Below are 19,392 nucleotides of genomic sequence, written 5' to 3' on the forward strand. Positions count from 1 at the left end.
GGAGTGGATGGAGTTACCTGCAGGAGTCGAGAGGGGAGCGGATGGAGTTCTCCGCACGAGTCAAAGGAGGAGCGGAGAGAGTTCTGTGCAGGAGTCCCGTGCTGGGGCCAGGAGGGTCCTGGTAGCAGGCGGGGCCCATCCCAGCTGCTGTTTATAGAGTGGCCTCTTCCCCAGGTCTCTTCATTCATTATGCAGTTTAATGTGCAGTGCAAGTGTTTTCTGCCCTGGGGTCTGGCGCAGGCCACTCCAGTCCTCAGGGGGATCCCTCAGTGCAGCTGGGTCACTTTCTTCTCAGCTCTGCTTACTTTTGAAATTAAGATTGTTCCTTGACACTTTTATGGCTGTTGCGTAGGCAGAGTTGAGTGGCTGTGACAGAGACTGGGTGACCCTCAAGCCTGAATCATTTGCAGGGTCCCCCCTGAGAAGTGTGCGGCCCTGGCGTCCCTCTCTCCAGCCCTGCCCTGGGCCTGGCTTGTGAACCTGTGATGTCGGGACTGCAGGGCCCCTGCTGGGCCGTTTTCTTACCAGGCAAAATTCCTGCTTCACAGAGTTGATGCCAGGGGTGTCAAATCTTTTGTTTTCCCTGGGCCACATTGGAAGAAGAATTGTCTTGGGCCACATAAAATAGAATAACACTAACAATAGTTGAGCTAAAAAAAAAAAAAAAACGTATAATTTACAAATTTGTGTTGGGCTGCATGCAGAGGTGTCCTGGACCACATGCAGCCTGCAGGACACAGGTCGGATAAGCCTGGTTTATACTCTAGTGGGGAGCTGTTAGCAATGGAAATGGTCAGTTGTTCAGTAGATTAGAAAGTGCAGAGAAGAGCAGGGCAGAGAAGGGTGAGACAGCGTGGGGTCCAGGTGTATGCCCCACCTGGCTGCTGTGTGTTGCTTGCTGACCCCCTCATGGGCCTTCGAGTGTAAGGGAGAGTCCTCTTCATGCCCTCGCACCCTCCTGGGTCTCTAGGGCTTGTGTGTCCCCAGGGGAGGAGCCCCCTGGACACACCCTGGCGGGTGCTGGCTGGCAAAGAGGGAGGCGTTGAGGGCCCGGGCAGCGCCTCCATCCTGGCCAGGCAAGTGCAGCTTCAGGTTGTGAGAACCGTGGTCACCTGTGTGTTTTAAAGATGACGGCAGTGATAGGTCCCCTTTTGGGCCTGGCATGGAAATTAGTCACATTCGTAGACCCTGTCACAGAGTGGGCACTGGTGATGTCATCTTTTATAGTTCTTATTTTCAATTGATTCAGCTTTTTCTAGCAGCATGGCGTGTTTTACGAACGTGTGTTTTGCTGTTACTGCTGCTACTCATAGTATGGTTTTGTCTAATGTAAGACAGAAGAGAATAATCTACTGTTATCTCCATGAAGTACAAACACAAATACAGTTGAATATAGTTTTTCTAATAGAAATTAAGGTTAGTTTTAGCCAAGGAGCACCTTTGCTGTTGGCTTATATGTTAATGTGTTTAGCACCTTGAGGTGTCCTTACTGGCAGGTAGGGTTGCATCTTGAGTGTAAAGATTTAACAGGAAAATAAGTCCAGTGCACATGTCTTAAAATTAATAGCAATTTCAGCAATATGTTAAAAACACGAAGCTAGGCCAGGCGTGGTAGCTTACACCTGCTTGAGCCCAGGAGTTCGAGACCAGCCTGGGCAGCGTAATGAGACCTCGTCTCTACTACAAATAAAAAAAAATTAGCCAGGCATGGGGTGCATGCCTGTCCCAGCTACTTTGGAGGCTGAGGTGAAAGGATGGCTTGAACCGGGAAGGTCAAGGCTGCAGTGAGCTGAGATCTTACCACTGCACCCTAGCATGGGTGACAGAGTAACAGCCTGTCTCAAAAAAAAAAAAAAAAAAGGCAAATTAAACTATTTGTGTTTTGGTGGTGCTTGTTACTGAGTTCCTGTGGGTCACAGCCCACAAGAAATGCAAGGAGGACCCACATGAGGGTCTTTCCTACAGCTCCTTACATGCTCAAGCTGGTAATTGTGGTCTAGTAGTAGCTACTGAATATCAACCCATAAGAATGACTTCATATTAAAAAACCACAGAGGCTATAATTGGGTCTGTCTTAGTAAGTTCTAAAGTGTCAGTAGAGACCCAGACTCACACCCACACTCCTAAGGGCAGGACACAGGGGAGGCTGTGGCCTTGGATCCTGTGTGGCTGAAATGGGGTTGCCTATTCAGGTGCTGAGTTTGAGATGGGAGCTGGCCCCTGGCCTGGAGAGTGGGGACTTGTGCCGAGGCCACTTTGCTGTTGCCCAGCAGGCCAGCGTGCACCCCTTGCGCATCCTGTTGACACGAGCACTGAGCGGACAGACCTCGGCTGTCCTGTTAACAGGTCCCACTTAGCAGCCTCCGTTTACAGCCAGCCCGGGACCTGCCTGGCAGGACCCCTGGTAGTTCTGTGTCATAGGAGCCCCTCTTTGTTCCAGGCCAACCAGGACAGGCGGTCACCCCACATACAGGGTTCTGAACGTTCTGACGTTACAGCGGGGGTCTGGTGCTGTTGTCTCAGGCAGGAATGGAGGCTGAGGGTCTGCACGTTTACTGCTGTGTGCAGGCCCCGTCCCAGGAGCGAGGTGGAGCCCATGTGAGGAGGTTGTGGTCTTTGTAAAGGTGAGCAGCAGCGAGTCATGAACTGCAAGCTCTTGGTAGGTTTTGGACGGGACGTGGCTGGCTGAGCTTCCTCTTGGCTGTGTGGAGCCTCAGCAGGGCGTTGTGTTTGACGGCAAATGGGAATTAAATCATGGCATCGTCACTGTCTTTTTTAGGGACGATGCTGCACTTAGTTCTTGCGACTCTTCCTGTTGTCAGTTGGGGCGGGGGGGCGTCATAACATTCTTTCCTGTCCTTGGGGGTCACCTTCCAGGAAAGGGGTGGGTGTCAGAGAGTGAGTGTGGCTTTGAAAGGCTGGTGTTGAGTGGGATCTCGTTTTTCAGGTGATGGTGCCAGTGATCTTTCCGTGCGGAACTAAGTTTATGCAGGGTTCAAGATCCATTCAAAGATAAATTCAGTGACGACCTGGTTGATGAAAAGAACCACTTTTTTTTAATGTTCTAGAGAAAACTCTTTAACTGCTGTATTACTTATCTATTGCTGTGAAACAGACAAATGTAGTGGCTTAAAACAACAATAAGCTGTCTTCTCCCACACAGCGGCTGTGGGTCAGGAGTTTGGGAGTGGCTCAATTGGGTGCTGCTGTCCTGGATTCTCATGCAGTTGCAGTTGAGATGTTGCCCAGCTCTGCAGGCCTCAAGGCCAGGGTCTGGGAGTCTGCTTCCAAGATGTCTCACCCTCGCAGCAGTAGCAGGAGGAGCCCTCAGCACCAGGACCACCTCAGGGCCGCTTGAGTATCCTCACACCGTGGCACCAGCTTTCGCCAGAGGGCAGGGAGTGACCTAGCTTCAGAAGTTGCCCCTTATTTCCATCCTCCTGGGGGTCACAGAAGTCAGTTCAGGGAGGAGAAGGTGGCACGGTGGTGAGTGTCTGCAGGGGATCCTGTGGGAAAGCAGCGCAGTGGTGAGTGTCCGCAGGGGATCCTGTGGGAAGGCGGTGCGGTGATGAGTGTCCAAGGCGGCGCGGTGATGAGTGTCCATAGGGGATCCTGTGGGAAGGCGGCGCGGTGGTGAGTGTCCGCAGGGGATCCTGTGGGAAGGCGGCGTGGTGGTGAGTGTCCGCAGGGGATCCTGTGGGAAGGCGGCGCGGTGATGAGTGTCCGCAGGGGATCCTGTGGGAAGGCGGTGCGGTGATGAGTGTCCATAGGGGATCCTGTGGGAAGGCGGCGTGGTGGTGAGTGTCTGCAGGGGATCCTGTGGGAAGGCGGCGCGGTGATGAGTGTCCGCAGGGGATCCTGTGGGAAGGCGGTGCGGTGGTTGAGTGTCCGCAGGGGAGCCTGTTGGAAGGCCGCGTGGTGGTGAGTGTCCGCAGGGGAGCCTGTTCTGGTTGCTTGGGCTGCTGTCACAAGAATGCCATGACCATGAACTGGGCAGCTTGTAAACAACAGGAATCCACCGCTCACAGCTCGGGAGCCTGGGAGTCCACCATCAAGGCCCTGGTAGGTTTGGTGTCCAGTGAGAACCACTTCTTGGCTGGTAAATAGCGTCTTCTTGCCGTGCCCTCTCCTGGTGGAAGGGCCAGGGAGCCCCTTTATCAGGGCACATACTCCATCCAGGAGGCTGTGCCTTCATGGCCCAGTCACTTCCAAATACCGTCCCAAGCAGGATTAGGAGGACCACATGTGAAGACGCCGCACAGCCTTCCTGGAGGCTGTGTGCCCCAGCCCTGCCATCAGCTGCCTGCTCCCGCTCACGTCTCCCCAGTTCACCTGCCTCCAGTGCTGGTTTATAGAACATTTGTGTGACTTCTTCAGATGATCTGTAAACAGAGGCAGTCTAGGTGGTGTTTTGTTTTCTAATTTCCTTTATGGAAAGGAGAGTTTGCATTTCCCTTGTGATTTTGACACACATTGTATTATGAAATATTTTCAGTGTTTGTCAAACTCGGTGTGGGGTAAGCGCATCCCACCAAGATAGGCGCTTACAGGCAGCCAAGGAACCCACCGTGTGGTTTCCTTTTAGGTTGGATTTCCTGTCTTACAGCCTCATGTTCCTAGTTGGAAATTAAGGTTGAGACTGTAGCCAGGTGTGCATTTATTCATCCGCCAGCTCTGGAGAGGTCTGCTTTAGAGGCCCTGCGGCCCCAGAAGTCATGCCTCTGAGTCCGTGGTTCTTAGCTGAGGGTGGCTTTGCAGTGTCCGGAGATGATTCTGGTTGTCCCACCCAGGGTGAATGAAGGCTGAAGATGCCGCCAAACACCCTGCAGGGAGGCTGGCCCCTGACAGAGCCGTGCAGGCGGCAGCGGCAGCACTGTTGCTGCGGCTGAGACAGCGCAGGGCGTCATTCATCCCCCTGCCTCCTGAGCCCAGAGCTTCTCCAGGAGAAAGCTGAGGAAAGGGGCCAGCCGTGAGCTGCGGGTGCTTGCCAGGGATCTGGTGACACCTGGGCATGTGGCTGGTGGAACCAGCAGGCCAAGGCTGTGGATTTTGAAGTGCTGTCTGCCATTTCCACTTTCAGAAGCATGAGTTGCATAAGGAAGGGGAATGAAAGGGTTTTTCCTGGAGCAAAATGATGCTTGTGGCAGACACAGTTGGAACCACAGACGATGCCACGCTTGTGTCAGCAGTGCGACACTGGCCCACGTGTCGTCCTTGTTCTCTCCTCATTGCTGCCGTCACTGTGTGCTGCGCATGCCCTGCAGTTACCCCAGAGCTTTATGTCACAACATTGAGGCTGGCGGAGAAAGACCGGCCCCTTCACCCCACCTTAGACTTCCTGGAAGGGCCGCCCGGGTCCACAACCTGGCCCGTTAACTCCCTGGGCAGCTGCTGGGGAGGAAGAAGCACTGCCCGCAAGGAGGGGCTGTGCCAGTGGGTGGCGGTGACGGGGGCCAGTGGTTTCCTGGACCTGGGTTTCCTGGGTGTGGGCTACTCAGGGATTGCTGAGTTCCCATCCCAGCCGGAGCTGACCACCAAGTCGACGGGGCAGAGTGAGAAACATCCAGGCCACCTGTGCCGCAGCCCCCATGGCTGCCGAGGTCTCCCCTGGGCAGGGGCAGTTGGTGTTCTCGCAGGGCCTGTGTTGGTGCATATGAGGAGTGTTTTCTGTGAGCAGCGGTGGAACATTTACAGACACGAGCGTCACAGTGGCTGGGCAAGGCCCGTGGCTGAGTGCACGGTGGCCCTGGGCGGGGCTCCTCTGTTGGGGCCTGACTTGCTGGCATTTCATGGAGGCCGCAGGCAGCCGCTCTTCCTGGGGGTCTTCCACATGCCCTGCAGGCATGGGGAGGAGCAGCCCCCACTCTGTCTCTGCCCATCAGGCTGCCCCCGCCAACAGAAAAAAGGCACTGTGCCACCCGGGGCAGTGCGTTCCCAGTGCCAGTCCCTGGCCCTGTACTTTTTAGCAGGCGCTCATGCTCATCCTGGTGAGGGAGGGCGATAGACAGGGACAGCGGTGCAAAATGGCTTCAGAGCCTGAACCACGGTTGCCACAGGCTGGGGCTGGAGTGCAGACACCATACAGGGGAACTGGGCAGAGCCCTGGCTGTGCAGGCGGGAGGGCAGTCATCCTCCACAGCTGGGACTTGCTCCGTCAGACCCCCAGCAGGGCTTCCTCCAGCTCCACGCACACGGGGCTGGAGCATGCTGCACTCCCACACAGATGCTCGAGCTGGGCCCAAGCCTGACCAGCCCTGGCCGAGGCCCTTGACTCCTGGCCTCACCCACCACGCCTTAACCTCCTGGCTGTAACTTCCTGGCCTTACCCTTCTGGCCTTACGCACCTGGCTGTTCTCTCCTGGCTGACCCACCTTGTGTTTAACTTCTCGGTCTTACCCAGTGTGCTTGCTTTCACCTCCTTGGTCATAGTCACCTGACCTTAACCTACTTTGCTGTAGTGTCTTGGCCTTCATCTCCTGTGGGTTCTAGCCCACCATAGCCACTTGGCCGTGTGTACCTGGCTCAGCCACCTGTCCAGACCCACTCGCCTTTTTCTAACTGGCCGTACCCTCCTGCCCTTTCTCTCCCAGGCTTAACGTCTCGGCCTTACCAACCTGGCCTGGATGGTAGTGCCCTCATGGTGACCAGGACATCTAGCGTCTCACACCTGTAACACACTAATGGGTGCCAGCACAGAGCCACGCATGCCGGCCTTCAGGCACCATCGTTGACCGCACGTCATGCTTTTCCTGGTGTCGTATGTTTGTGCCAGCGTAGCCCTCTGCGGGGCCTGTGCCGGTGCTGTGTCAGGTGTGGTGGCCTCAGAGCGCCTCCTGGGTGCAGTCAGGTTCTTGCTCCACGGCTCTTTTCCTTGATATTGCGTCACACGCCGTCTGTGGGCCCCTGGGGGTGGTGGAGCCTTGATCCCAGCCCCTTGGTGTGGCCAGTGGGATGCAGCCCCCCTGCACATCCTACCTCACCTGGCTCTGTGTGCAGGTGGTCAATGGGACATCCACCCACCTCCCAGCAAGTCCCACAGCCAGGGCTGGGACGGTGCCTGCTGGACAGCTAGACTCAGAAAGTGCAGTTGGACCCGGTTGGAACGGCAGTAGTGACTGTCTTTTTTTTTTAGCGTCCTAGGATGTGAACTTGCCGTGGTCCTCGGGCTTACGGGCAGCCCTGGCTTTCCTCATCTTCTGTGGGGAAGTGGAGTTGTGAAGATGCCCAGGAAATTGCCCAGTGGTCTTGCAGTGGTCGTCTTGCTGGGCTTTGAGTCTTGGCTGCCTCCCCTGTGTCCCCTGACTGTTACCTGGGTGGCACCAGGGGGTCTTGGCGTCTCCTTGTTCCCATGGTGTGTCCCCTGACTGTTACCTGGGTGGCACCAGGGGGTTGTGGCGTCTCCTTGTTCCCATGGTGTTATCTACGGAAGGGTGCATTCGGGTGCCTTTACCCTCAGCGAAGGCAGCAACCCTCATCGCTGCCCCCCAGCCCCACTGCCTGAGGTGCGTGGCCTCCTGGGACCCTGGGTACTCAAGCATGCTGCCGTGTGTGTGCTCACACTCAGGCTGCCACGCCTGTGCTGCCAGCACGCCACTCCCAGAGGCCGCCCCTCCAAGGCCTCCTCTTGGGATGGCTTTTCCTTCGCAGAGCCCGGCCTCTGGGGACTGACATTTTGTTGGGACTAGGAAGAGAATAAAAGATTTCCATGGCTTTCTGGAGAAGCAGGATGAGGTTGACAGTTCTGATAGGAGTCCCCCTTAATGTGTCTTGCCGTGTGGCTGTACCATTACGCGTGTGCTCTTGCCGTGTGGCTGTACTGTCATGTGTGTGCCCCTGCTGTGTGGCTATACTGTCATGTGTGTGCCCCTGCTGTGTGGCTGTACCGTTATGCGTGTGTGTCCTGTGTGGCTGTAGCATCACTCATGTGCCTCTGCCATGTGGCTGTACCATCACGTTTGTGTGTGCTTGCTGTGTGGCTGTACTGTCACGTGTGTGCCCTGACGTGTGACTGTACTGTCATGCGTGTGCCCCCACCGTGTGCTGTACCATCACACGTGTGACCCCGCTGTGTGGTTGTGCCATCATACGTGCCCCCACTTTGTGGCTGTGCCATCACACATGTGCCCCCGCTGTGTGGCTGTGCCATCACGTGTGCCCCCGCTGTGTGGTTGTGCCATCACGTGTGCCCCCGCTGTGTGGTTGTGCCATCATACGTGCCCCTGCTTTGTGGCTGTGCCATCACACATGTGCCCCCGCTGTGTGGCTGTGCCGTCACGTGTGTACCCCTGCTTTGTGGCTGTGCCGTCACACGTGTGTCCTTGCTGTGTGGCTGTACTCTTACCTGTGCCACACTTAAATAGAATGTGTTTAACATTCTATTGTGAACATTTTCCTCATCATTACAATCTTGATTTTTCAAGACTGTGTGGATTCTGTAAGTCATGGCTAATTCCTGGTGGACGGTGCTGTTTTGGCCCTGTAGGTGCCATGGTGATAGTGACATTCCTTCTCCGGACCTGGCGTTCTCCTGGTTGTTCCTGGAGTTGCTTGCTTAACTGTGGTCCTTCTGCCTTTTTATGACGTTATTTGATAGAACCCTTGAGGGTGGTTTTAAACACCCCTAGTTTCGTAGCCCTTTTAGCTGTCATATTTATTATTGTTTTGTTGCTTTCCGCAGGCCGGTCTAATTGAAGCCAACGGAGAACTCAAGGTCTTCATAGACCAGAACCTTAGTCCCGGGAAAGGTAAGGGCACCTGTTCTGGACACACTCTTGTGTTGATGAATGCATGAAGCTTCACATGTTTATGAAGCTGTTGACGCTGAAGCCTCTTGCTAATGATGGCATCTCCTGCATGGGCACCTTTGTGCTCCGGGAACCCAGGAGGGTGGGCGTAGGAGCCTTCTAGCATTTAGAACACAGCCTGCACACACACCAGTAGCTTTGTGGATTTTGAATTCTAAGGTATGTATACTATTTGCAAAAGTTTAGAAAAGGTAGAATATTGTAAAGAAGAAATAAAGATAGTTTGTTTTCTCTCCACCCAAAGATAATGACGTTTCAGCTGTGGTGTGGGCTCTTCCAGAGGCCGGCCTCACCTGTGCTGTTTGAGGAAAGATGGGCCTACCATGGTGCATGCCTTCTGCGAAGCAGGCACTTGCCACCTTTAACGCTTCGCGTGTGTATTTTACTAGCTCTTGAGGAAGAGCCGTTTTTCTTGTCTTGGGGAATCCAGGGGAGGAAGTCAGCTGGAGAGGTTGAAGCCACCTCTTCCAGGGTCCCACGGTTGGTAGTTTCCATTTTACACCTCGGAGTGGTGCTGTGGTTTACGTTCGTGAAGGTGTGTGTGCTCACCTGGTTACTTCCTGGGTAAACTCCTTACCTGTGCTGGGTCAGGGCACGCCATTTAGAAGCTTTGATGTGCGATGCTTGGCCCCTCGTGAGAGGCTGTGCTGTGTGGATCTGGGATTGCGTGCAGGGTAGTTCGTTGTGGTTTGTTGCGATATTCCTGGGAGACAAGCTTGTGGAAGAGCTTGCTTTGTCCCAAGACCTGTCTGCCTGCAGAGCCTAGTGGGTCCACTGAGTGCCCTGGTCGCAACATCCACGTGGTCGCATCAGCCCAGGGAGGAGCCCAGAGGCCTGGATGTGTTTCCGTTTTGGGTTCCTAAAAGGAACCTTAAGATTTTTCTAATTATTCCCATATATAAAATTAGCTTTTTTTACTCTTAACATTGTGACCCTTGTAAGTGACCTCTCAGTGCTTGCCATGGCTCTGGGGCGTGGGAGTGTGGTGACCAGGCCCCCACCTCTCTGCTGAGGCTTGGCCTTGCCACCCGTCCCTTTCTGTCCAGTGCTGGTGCGGGCGCCCATGGTGCCATCTGCCTCCAACCCCTACATGCTGTGGATCCAGGTGTCTCCTTGGGGCCTGTCCCTAGGTCCTGCTCTGGTCTCTTCCTTGAGAGAACTTGGCTTTGTGACCTGAGCCAGCCTGCAGCCTCCCCAGCCTCCTGCTGTCCCCGGGCCCTGTCAGAGGGAGGTGGTGGGACTGGCCCTGCTCTTCTGCTGAAGCAGGTCCTTCCCTGCCGCTTTTCTAGGAATAGGGACCAAATCTACGCAGCCCTTTTGGGATTATTTATGAGCTTTTTGTCTTGATCATTTGAGGATTCACAGATTGCTTGAGAGAAATATCGTTTTAGTGTAACTAATTGAACACTTAAAAGTGGACAAGTTGCAGGCGTGACATTTTCTGTTCAAGTGGTGAAGCAGAAATAACAATAAAAAAGTTCACCATTTTATTTGCTTGGAAATGATGAAGTCTGTTACTATGGTGTTGAATTTGAATTTCTCTTGTTAGGTTACATGCAGTAGGCTTTCTTACCACATGTGGGCTGTCTCCTTTTCCATTCTTACTCACAAATCTGTGCTTGAATCTGTAACAAGTTTAATTGAGCTGAAGAGTTGAATTGCAGGGATTAGGAAGGAACATATTCTGCATTCATGACATAGCTGAAAATGTTCTGGTTTTGAGCCGGCCCAGCAGGGCCGTGCATTTCCCCTCAGCTCGCCCCGCGTGCCCCGGCCCCCAGATCCCTCCCACATGAGCCTTGGGACGGTCAGTTCTTTCCCTGGATCGCCGGCAGCAGCTCCTGGACCTCCCCTGCCCTCACCTGGTGTTGATTCCACCGCACAGACGGTGGTTTTTGTTGTTGTTGTTTTGGAGATGGAGTCTCACTCTGTCGCCCAGGCTGGAGTGCAGTGGCGCCGTCTCGGCTCACTGCAACCTCTGCCTCCCGGATTCAAGCGATTCTCCTGCCTCAGCCTCCAGAGTAGCTGGGATTAGAGGTGCCCACCACCATATCCAGCTAATTTTGTATTTTTAGTAGAGATGGGGTTTCACCATGTTGGTCAGACTGGTTTCGAACTCCTGACATCATGATCCGCCCACCTTGGCCTCCCAAAGTGCTGGGATTACAGGCGGGAGCCACTGCACCCGGCCACACGTGGTTATTTTAAATTTGCTTTTGAATCAGTGACACGTTCATGTTTTTAAATTTTGAAGTATGAAAAGGTGCAGAGAGGTTTCCTTTTTTCCTCTTCTGTCCATGCAGGTGAGCACCAATGTTCACTTCCGGTGTTCGTTCCAGAGAATTCTGTTTAACAAATAGAATGGTTTGTTGGTGTTTGCATGTGTCTGTGTCAATATGTGTGCATGAGTGTGTGTGAGGAATGTGTGTGTCACTGAGTGTGCATACGAGTGTGTGTGTGCATGAGTGTGTGTGTGTATGCGTGAATGCGTGGGTATGTGAGGAGTGTGTGTGCATGTGTGTCTGCGTGAATGCGTGGGTATGAGTGTGTGTGTGCATGAGTGTGTGTGTGTATGCGTGAATGCGTGGGTATGTGAGGAGTGTGTGCATGAGTGTGTCTGTGTGTATGCGTGAATGCGTGGGTGTGTGAGGAGTGCTTATCAGTGCATTGTGCGTGTGGAGTGTCTGTGCGTGTCTGTTCATGGGTTGCATATGTGTTGAGTGTGCATGTGTGTTGAGTGTGCATGAGTTGTGTGAGTGGATGTGAGTGTACCTGTGAGTTTGCGTGTGTGTGCATGCGTGTGAGTTGTGTGCGTGTGTGTGCATGTGAATTGTGAGGAGTGCATATGGAGTGCATGTGTTGTGAGTGTGCATGAGTTCACGTGAGTTGTGTCAGTTGTGTGCGTGCGTTTGTGAGTTGTGTGTGAGATGTGTGTTGTGTGCATGAGTTGTGTGCATGAGATGTATGTGAGTTGTGTGCATATGCACGTGTGAGTTGAGTTGTGTGCATGGAGTGTTATGTGCGTGTGCATGTGTGTGTGTTGTGTGCATGAGTTGAATGAGTTGTATGTGTGTGTTGTGTGCGAGTTGAGTATGATGTGTGTGCGTGTGTGAGTTGAGTGTGAGTTCTGATTGTGCGTGTGTGTGAGTTGTGTGTGTGTAAGCGTGCAGTCCTCGCCTCCCCAACAGACACCTGTCTTCACTAGTGGGCCCCCCTTGCCTCTAGTTGGGAGTGGGGTGGTCCAGGCAGGGTCCTCGGCGCCCTTAGATGGAGCCGTTGCAGCTGCTTTTTGAGTTGCCCTCGGCGGTGCCAGTGAGCAAGGCTCTGCCTTCCTCCGTTTGTGCCCTGGGAGCCCAGGGCATGGTCGGTAGCACTTTGAGGGCTGTAGAGGCCTCCCTTGAGTCAGACCTTGAGGAAGGACAGGAGCTGTCCAGGTGAGAGTGGATCAGGGGAAGGTAGAGGGGACCAGCCCAGCCGAGGCTCCTCATGGGCCCCTGGCCCTGGTCCTGGTCCTCCCAGCTCCACTCCACGTCACAGCCTCCCGGGGCCACTGTGTCTCTTCCTGCTGCTGCTGTGGGGGGCCTGTGTCCAGTTCCCCACTGTGTCAGCGTTCTCTAAAGTAGCAGCCAGTGAGCGACGGGAACCTGGGTGGGGACTCACTACAGGACCCACCTAGCCATAGTGGGGCCGTCAGGGCGGAACCTGCAGGGTGGTTGGTGGTGAATTCCTTTTCTGGGAAAATGCAGGTGTTGCTCTGAAAGCCTTCAGTGGGTTAGACGAGGCCCACCTGCATCGAGCACAGTCTCCTTTGCTTAACGGCTCCTCTTTGAGGAGCTCCGCGGCAAGTTCTCGGCTGGCCTTTGGCTGAATAATGGATAGAGCACCGTCAGGTTGACACGTAAAACTGACTGTCACACCCTTCGAGGCTTAGAAGGCTGCTTTCCACCCAGAGAAATGCACCAAACTCGAGACATTTTGCATCCACAGGCTCCCCAAGGATGGGAGTCCCAATGTGGAGGTTTGGCAATACATCTTACGTGGGCCATTTTAGTTGTGGCTGTTTGGGTTGCCTCTGATTGTTTCCTGAGAGCAAAATGCTGGTGTGAACATTTGCACACACACTTTGTGTGTCTGGCAGTTCCACTTCCTCACCAGCATTTGGTAGTGGTGGGTTTTTAGGCTTTCTGTGTCACAGGTGGGCTCTTACTCATATCATGCCTACGGCCCCGCAGTGCTGATAGGAGCTTTTCCTCTCGCTTTGCCTGGTCCACCCTGCCCCTGTCTGAGGGTGACCTGGCCCCATGGCTGCCTGCACTCTCCTCCCTGATGTGTGCAATCCTGCCCGGCCTGTGCCTCGTCCTCAGGGAGGCCATCCGGGAGGCCACAGCTGGCCTGGAAGTGTGCTTGTCTGTCTCTACCTCAGGGCTGCTTGTGCACCTCCTGTACCTAGAGGTGATCCAGGCTCACTGAGAATCTGCCCACACTGTTCCACACGTTTAGGCCAGGTGCAGGGGCTCACACCAGAAATCCCGGTGCTTTGGGAGACTGCAGTGGGAGGATTGCTTGAGGCCAGGAGTTCAAGACCAGTCTGGGCAACAACGGGAGACCCCATCTCTATAAAAAATTTTAAAAAAAAGTAGCCAAGCATGGTGGCGCATGTCTATAGATAGTCCCAGCTACTTGGGAGGCTGGGGCAGGAGGATCGCTTGAGCCTGGGAGGTCGAGGCTGCAGTGAGTTGTGATTGTGCCACTGCACTCCAGCCTGAGTGACAGAGCCAGACCCTGTCTCAAAATGAGTAGGCTGGGCATGGTGGCTCAAGCCTGTATCCCAGCACTTTGGGAGGCCGAGGCAGGTGTATCACCTGAGGTCAGGAGCTCAAGACCAGCCTAGCCAACATGATGAAACCACCTCTCCACTAAAAATATAAAAATTAGTGGGGCGCTGTGGTACACGCCTGTAATCCCAGCTACTCAGGAGGCTGAGGCAGGAGAATCACTTGAACCCTGTAGGCGGAGGTTGCAGTGAGCTGAGATTGCTCCACTGCACTCTAGCCTGGGTGACAGAGTGAGACTCTGTCTCCAAAAAAAAAAAAAAAAAGAGTAAGTGTGTAAGTGTACATTTGAGCGTGCACTTTCGCAGCTGGTGCGTGGAGTGTCTGTCCTCTCCATGCCGTGTGGTGGCTCCTGTCTGTAGTCACTGGGACCCTTCCAGTCACGGTTTCGGTGGCTGCGTTTTGCTACCTTTTGTTATTTGCTGCCGTTTTCTCGTAGAGTGCTCATGATTTTTAACATAGTAAATCCGTGGAGAGCGCTCAGGTACAGATCATGGCTGTGTGCAGTGCAGGCTCACCGTCTGCGGCGCCAGGCCGGGTCCCTCGTTTGCTGCTCATCTGGGAGTGCCCAGCACATGTGGCCATTGATTATACATATCCTCTTAGCCCAGAATGACTGCTTACTAAAGAGCATCTCCCTTTGTTGTGTCTTTACTTTCCTCCTGCTTCAATCTCATATCTGTCGGCTTTAGGGTTCTAAGTGGAGGAGGAAATTTAGCAATGATGTGTGGTCAGAAGCTTAGTGTTGCTTACGTAATTCCTCACTCGTGACCGTCGCCTGTGAACTAACTGTGCCCCTTGCCCCCCGACACACGCACTGGTCTTTGTAGAGCTGTTAGGAAGGGGGTTATAGGAAGGGAGGGTATAAGTTTTGGTTGGCCTCTTCAAACTGCCAGCCTCCTACAAAACTGTCAGGAGAGGCCATCAGCTTTTTCTCTCTTTGTATTTCTCTGTTTTTAACCCGAAGGATGTTAAAAGCCCAGCCTCTGTTTTTAGCCCAGTCATGACATTTCTGTGGCCGTAACCCTTGTTCCAGGTGTGAGATGGTGACTCTTGGATGCAGGGTAGCCTCCCAGAGCTTTGTGTGTTTGTATAGAGAGGTTTGTGGGAGTGACTTGAGCCGTGCTGTGAACTTGGACTAGCACCCGTGTGTTCTCAGGAGCGGGTCCTGCTGGAGGCCCAGCCACGTCAGGCACAGTAGGTGTGTGATTTGTGCAACGGAGGCCTCTGATAACTGCCAGAGTAGATAGCTTTTGTGTGGGAGCTGCCTCAGCCTGCATTCCAGGAGCTCAGGTTTCCTGAGTCTGAATGGAGTCTGGAGAGAGCAATGTCTCCATGGAGCGGGTGCCTGGCTGTGGTCGCTTAGGCAGGAGCTTCCTCCTCAGTGCTGACAACAGAGAAGAACATTCTGTTGTGGCCAGTCAAGTGTGCACAAATGCTGCTTGCGAGCCAGTCACAGAGGCACTCACATGCAGAGCCGCTCACCTGCAGAGCCGCTCACCTGCAGAACCGTTCACCTGCAGAGCCCTTCACCTGCAGAACCGTTCACCTGCAGAGCCCTTCACCTGCAGAACCATTCACCTGCAGAGCCGCTCACCTGCAGAACCCTTCACCTGCAGAGCCGCTCACCTGCAGAGCCCTTCACCTGCAGAACCCTTCACCTGCAGAGCCGCTCACCTGCAGAGCCGCTCACCTGCAGAGCCGCTCACCTGCAGAGCCGCTCACCTGCAGAGCTGCTCACCTGCAGAGGGGTTGTGCTTGGCCAGATAAGCAAACAAAACATCTCCAGCATGGTGGGCAAAATAGTAACTCTTAGACATCTGGCTCTGACAACGTAAAGATGTTAAAATTGTTTTTCAGAAAATACAAAACTGTATGGTTTCATAATTTATCTTAAGCCCTATAGATATTAATAGAATAGGATTAGTAATGATAAAAACGTGAATACTATATTTAGACTCCTTTTTCTGTTAATGGATTATAGCAACTGAGACCATATATATTCTTAACTAGTTTTCTTCCCAAGAAAGGAATTCTCCATTTAAAATGCTGTATATAAAATGTTTTTAATTAGTTCATTTGAAAAACGCTGTGTAGTGCCTTTTACAGTTGAAACAATATTATTTCTATTGAGTTGGCTTGTGGGCCATGTCTTCATGTGACTCAGCTTGTCCCTGAAATGTTAGCCCTCCTCCCTCCCATGCATAGATTGTGTGGCAGTCTTATCAAGAAAATGTGTGGAACACTCTACTCTACTTATATTGCCAGATTAAAACTAAATGATTGGCTGGGCGTGGTGGCTCACACCTGTAGTCCCAGCACTTTGAGAGGCCAAGGCGGGTGGATCGCTTGAACTCAGGAGTTCAAGACCAGTCTGGGTGATGTGGCGAAACTCTGTCTCTACAAAAAATACAAAAATTAGCCGGGTATGGTTGTGCGAGCCTGTAGTACCAGCTACTTGGGAGGCTGAGGTGGGAGGATCCCTTGAACCGGGAGGTGGAGGTTGCAGTGAGCTGAGATTCTACAACTGCACTCCAGCCTGGGTGACAGAGTGAGACCCTGTCTCAAAAACAACAACTACTACTACTAATTGAAATAACATTCTATCCTGAGGTGGACAAAAAAAGTGGTGGGGAGCGGCAGCCTGGCTGCCACTGGTGCGTCTGGCCTGGAATGACCACTTGGGGAGCTGGGTGGACTCTGGGACAGCGGCCGCTGGGACCCGGGCTTCCCTGGTGGCAGGTGTGCCGAGGAAAACACACAGCATGTGGTTCAGTAATAACAAACAGCATTTTCATATGACATCTGTGTTCATATGACCACTTTATTATAATGGCATAGCATAACAGCATTTAAGGAAATCAGCCTGACGGCTCTATGTATGGGTAAATCTGAAACACAATGTTGGCAGAATTGCAGAATGCGAGCCATATAATATTTGTCTGTGTTTCAGACGCACACAAAAACAATCATTTATAGCCTTAGGTTCAGCACATCCTGGAAAAGTATGAAAAATAAAGTGAGTACGTCCCTGCAGGCCCTGGGAGTTGCACACAGGGCAGACTCGGGGGGAGGCTGAGGATCCTGGGGACTGTAATTTTATTTCTGCTCTTTATGTCTCTATGAAACTTGAAGCAAGTATGATGATAACAGTGAATTTTAAGTGTACTGGAATAAAATTGTCATGTTATTGTTTGTATTTGAAAAGTTTCTCAGTGAATAGAAACAAGAAGCCCGGCTGGGCGTAGTGGCTAACACCTGTAATCCCAGCACTTTGGGAGGCCGAGGCAGGCGGATCACCAGAGGTCAGGCGTTCAAGACCAGCCTGGCCAACATGGTGAAACCCTTCTCTACTAAAAATACAAAAGTTAGCCAGTGTGGTGGCAGGTGCCTGTAGTCCCAGCTACTCAGGAGGCTGAGGCAGGGGAATCGCTGGAACGCGGGAGGCGGAGCTTGCAGTGAGCCGAGATCATGTCACTGCCCTCCAGCCTGGGCGACACAGTGAGACTCCATCTCAAAAAAAAAACAAAAAAAAAAAAAAAAAAAGAAGAAGCCCACCCACCCAGGTCTGGCCCCAGAAGCCACTGCCACTGCCCTTTCCAGCCTGTACGTCTGGGTGTGGGTCTGAGATGTATTCAGGGAGGGGCCTTGCTGCTCGCTGTGGTCGGGTGGCTGTGCAAGCTCAGCCCCTATCTCCAGGCCCTTCTGAAGTGCTGCTCGGGGCCGGACAGGGGGTATTCACCCTCAGCCTCAGGATTTCTTTCTTCTCCCTGTTACTGATGTACGTACCCTGCCCTCTGTCCCGTAGAGACTCAGCTGGTGACCCAGGGGTGCTGCTGGGTTGGTGTGGTGTGCCACTCAGAGGTCCTCTGTTGGTTTGTGTCTAGGCTGGGAGGGGCCCTCTGTGCTTGGCAAGGCCTTGGGCTCCGAAACCCTTTACCTGCAGCTGGTGTGGGGGCTCAGACTCCAGGTGGACAGCAGGAGTGAGTGGGGAAGCTCAGGGGCCCTGGATGTCTGCCTGCATTCACTCATCCTGCCCTGGGTACCAGAGGAGGGACCCTCTTCCCTCTGTGTGTTTGTCTCCCCCTTCCTAATTGTGAAAACCCTTAGCGACCCACCCCAGCCTCACGGTGCTGGCCTCTGGCCCAGAGGGAGAGACCTGGTTGGAAGGACAGATGGTGTAGGCAGGCCAGCCGGCCGGCCTGTGGGTGGAGCAGATGGAGGGCAGGCCGGATGCCCCGAGGGTCTCAGCTACACTGCTGTCCCACAGCCCCACCACCACCTGAATCCCTGAGTCCTACCCACACTCCCTGATGGGGCAGGAAAGGGGAGCCCCAGACTGGGATGCCTGAGTGTATGCTACCTGTGGTGCTGGTGGACGGGCGCCGTGGCCTGGCTGTTCAGGACGGAAAGAGCCGCCTGGGCTGCTGATGGAGAGTGACAGTGCCACTGGCTTTTGTGAACTCAGAGGTCTGTTTCTTTCTTCACATTTATTGAAATTAGAGACTCGTTTGCAAATTTTAAAAGATGTTATCTTTGTAATGAATCAACTACATATTCTTGAAAACTGAGTGTTTACTCATCTGTATGTGAATCTGAAAAGTGTTTAATTGCGTACTTTAAATCATTCCCTGCATAGTAGAATATTATTTTTGCTTTTAAAATGCCTTTCCCTGGTAAGTATTACACCGTGTATATGTGCATCCAATCATCACTGGTACATTTCGAATATGTACAATCTTTACTTTTCAATTGAATATTCTGAAAATACCTTTCACATATATAAAACAATAAAAAAGTAAATATTTGCTTTTCTTAGGATGCACACCTTTATTTTTGGAAGAAAATTTCCCAAAGCAGATCATCTTATTTTAGTTCCAGAAGAGAATTTTAAATATGTGCTGACATTGGTTGGTAAAAATACTAATATTTAACCCAGTTGAATCAAAAGGCAAATGTCTTTTTAATCACTTCCTAATGATCTGTCTTGGCCAACTTAGGTTATTAAGAGAAATTACTAAGTGTCCTTATGTAGCACAAAATTCATTGTTTAATATATTTTAAAGAAATGCATAAAAAGCAGTAGATGTTTTAAAAATGCATGGGTTGTAAAGGGCCCCAAAATGAAACTTCAGATCGCAAAGGCAATGTATTCGAAAGTCTCACCGATGATTCATGAGTCATTTTGGTGCTAACTGGTGGGAATGAAGGGAGATGCCTGTGGGGAGGTCCAGGGTCCTGCAGCTCTGCGGATGGGCGGCCGTCCGGGGAGGCCCAAGGTGTGGCGAGATCGGGGAGTTCTTCTTTCCTGATGTTGTTGTGACCCGAAAGTCTGTGTTTTCTTCACCTGAGAGTATCATGTATTTTCAAATGGGGGGCTATCCGCTCAGCTCCCCCAGCCGTGGGGTGGGGTGTGGGTGGCAAGCCACCCAGGTGCCGAGGCAAGAGACCGAGGACACGAGCTGTTCCAGTATAATAAAATATAAAACAAGAATGGTTATTCCAGATATAGATCTTAGATATGATTATATATGAATATCATTAATCATTAGTTTGTAGCAATTACTCTTTATTCCAATATTACAATAATCCTCACTCTACAATCATAACCCAGGAAAAACCAGGCCATACAGAGATAGGAGCTGAGGGGACATAGTGAGGAGTGACCAGAAGACGAGTGCGAGCCTTCTGTTATGCCCGGACAGGGCCACCAGAGGGCTCCTTGGTCTAGCGGTAACGCCAGCGTCTGGGAAGAT

The 19,392-nt window shown here is 52.6% G+C and overlaps 1 protein-coding gene across 25 annotated transcripts in view, besides 6 other annotated features; it reads left to right on the top strand.

The window, feature by feature from the left end:
- The window catches only part of TFDP1 (transcription factor Dp-1), a 56,786-nt gene that overhangs the window by 17,631 nt on the left and 19,763 nt on the right, over positions 1 to 19,392 (top strand). For all 25 annotated transcript variants that reach the window (NR_026580.1, XM_017020717.2, XM_005268327.2 and 22 more), the window contains exon 3: positions 8,678 to 8,744. Coding sequence is in view for 24 of the 25 variants with exons in the window: in XM_017020717.2 (XP_016876206.1) it covers positions 8,678 to 8,744 (67 nt within the window). In the remaining variant the exon portion in view is untranslated. The remainder of the gene's footprint in view (positions 1 to 8,677; positions 8,745 to 19,392) is intronic.
- Positions 11,009 to 11,573: an enhancer, noted in NCBI's record as "H3K4me1 hESC enhancer chr13:114267642-114268206 (GRCh37/hg19 assembly coordinates)". NCBI's record gives its function as "activates a minimal SCP1, AML or CMV promoter by ChIP-STARR-seq in primed H9 embryonic stem cells {active_cell/tissue: H9 hESC(primed)}" and the evidence as "EXISTENCE:reporter gene assay evidence [ECO:0000049][PMID:30033119]".
- Positions 11,574 to 12,137: an enhancer, noted in NCBI's record as "H3K4me1 hESC enhancer chr13:114268207-114268770 (GRCh37/hg19 assembly coordinates)". NCBI's record gives its function as "activates a minimal SCP1, AML or CMV promoter by ChIP-STARR-seq in primed H9 embryonic stem cells {active_cell/tissue: H9 hESC(primed)}" and the evidence as "EXISTENCE:reporter gene assay evidence [ECO:0000049][PMID:30033119]".
- Positions 12,702 to 13,265: an enhancer, noted in NCBI's record as "H3K27ac-H3K4me1 hESC enhancer chr13:114269335-114269898 (GRCh37/hg19 assembly coordinates)". NCBI's record gives its function as "activates a minimal SCP1, AML or CMV promoter by ChIP-STARR-seq in primed H9 embryonic stem cells {active_cell/tissue: H9 hESC(primed)}" and the evidence as "EXISTENCE:reporter gene assay evidence [ECO:0000049][PMID:30033119]".
- Positions 13,266 to 13,829: an enhancer, noted in NCBI's record as "H3K27ac-H3K4me1 hESC enhancer chr13:114269899-114270462 (GRCh37/hg19 assembly coordinates)". NCBI's record gives its function as "activates a minimal SCP1, AML or CMV promoter by ChIP-STARR-seq in primed H9 embryonic stem cells {active_cell/tissue: H9 hESC(primed)}" and the evidence as "EXISTENCE:reporter gene assay evidence [ECO:0000049][PMID:30033119]".
- Positions 14,394 to 14,957: an enhancer, noted in NCBI's record as "H3K27ac-H3K4me1 hESC enhancer chr13:114271027-114271590 (GRCh37/hg19 assembly coordinates)". NCBI's record gives its function as "activates a minimal SCP1, AML or CMV promoter by ChIP-STARR-seq in naive H9 embryonic stem cells {active_cell/tissue: H9 hESC(naive)}" and the evidence as "EXISTENCE:reporter gene assay evidence [ECO:0000049][PMID:30033119]".
- Positions 14,958 to 15,520: an enhancer, noted in NCBI's record as "H3K27ac-H3K4me1 hESC enhancer chr13:114271591-114272153 (GRCh37/hg19 assembly coordinates)". NCBI's record gives its function as "activates a minimal SCP1, AML or CMV promoter by ChIP-STARR-seq in naive H9 embryonic stem cells {active_cell/tissue: H9 hESC(naive)}" and the evidence as "EXISTENCE:reporter gene assay evidence [ECO:0000049][PMID:30033119]".

Source organism: Homo sapiens, chromosome 13 (genome assembly GCF_000001405.40).
Source record: "Homo sapiens chromosome 13, GRCh38.p14 Primary Assembly".
Classification (NCBI taxonomy): Eukaryota; Metazoa; Chordata; class Mammalia; order Primates; family Hominidae; genus Homo; species Homo sapiens.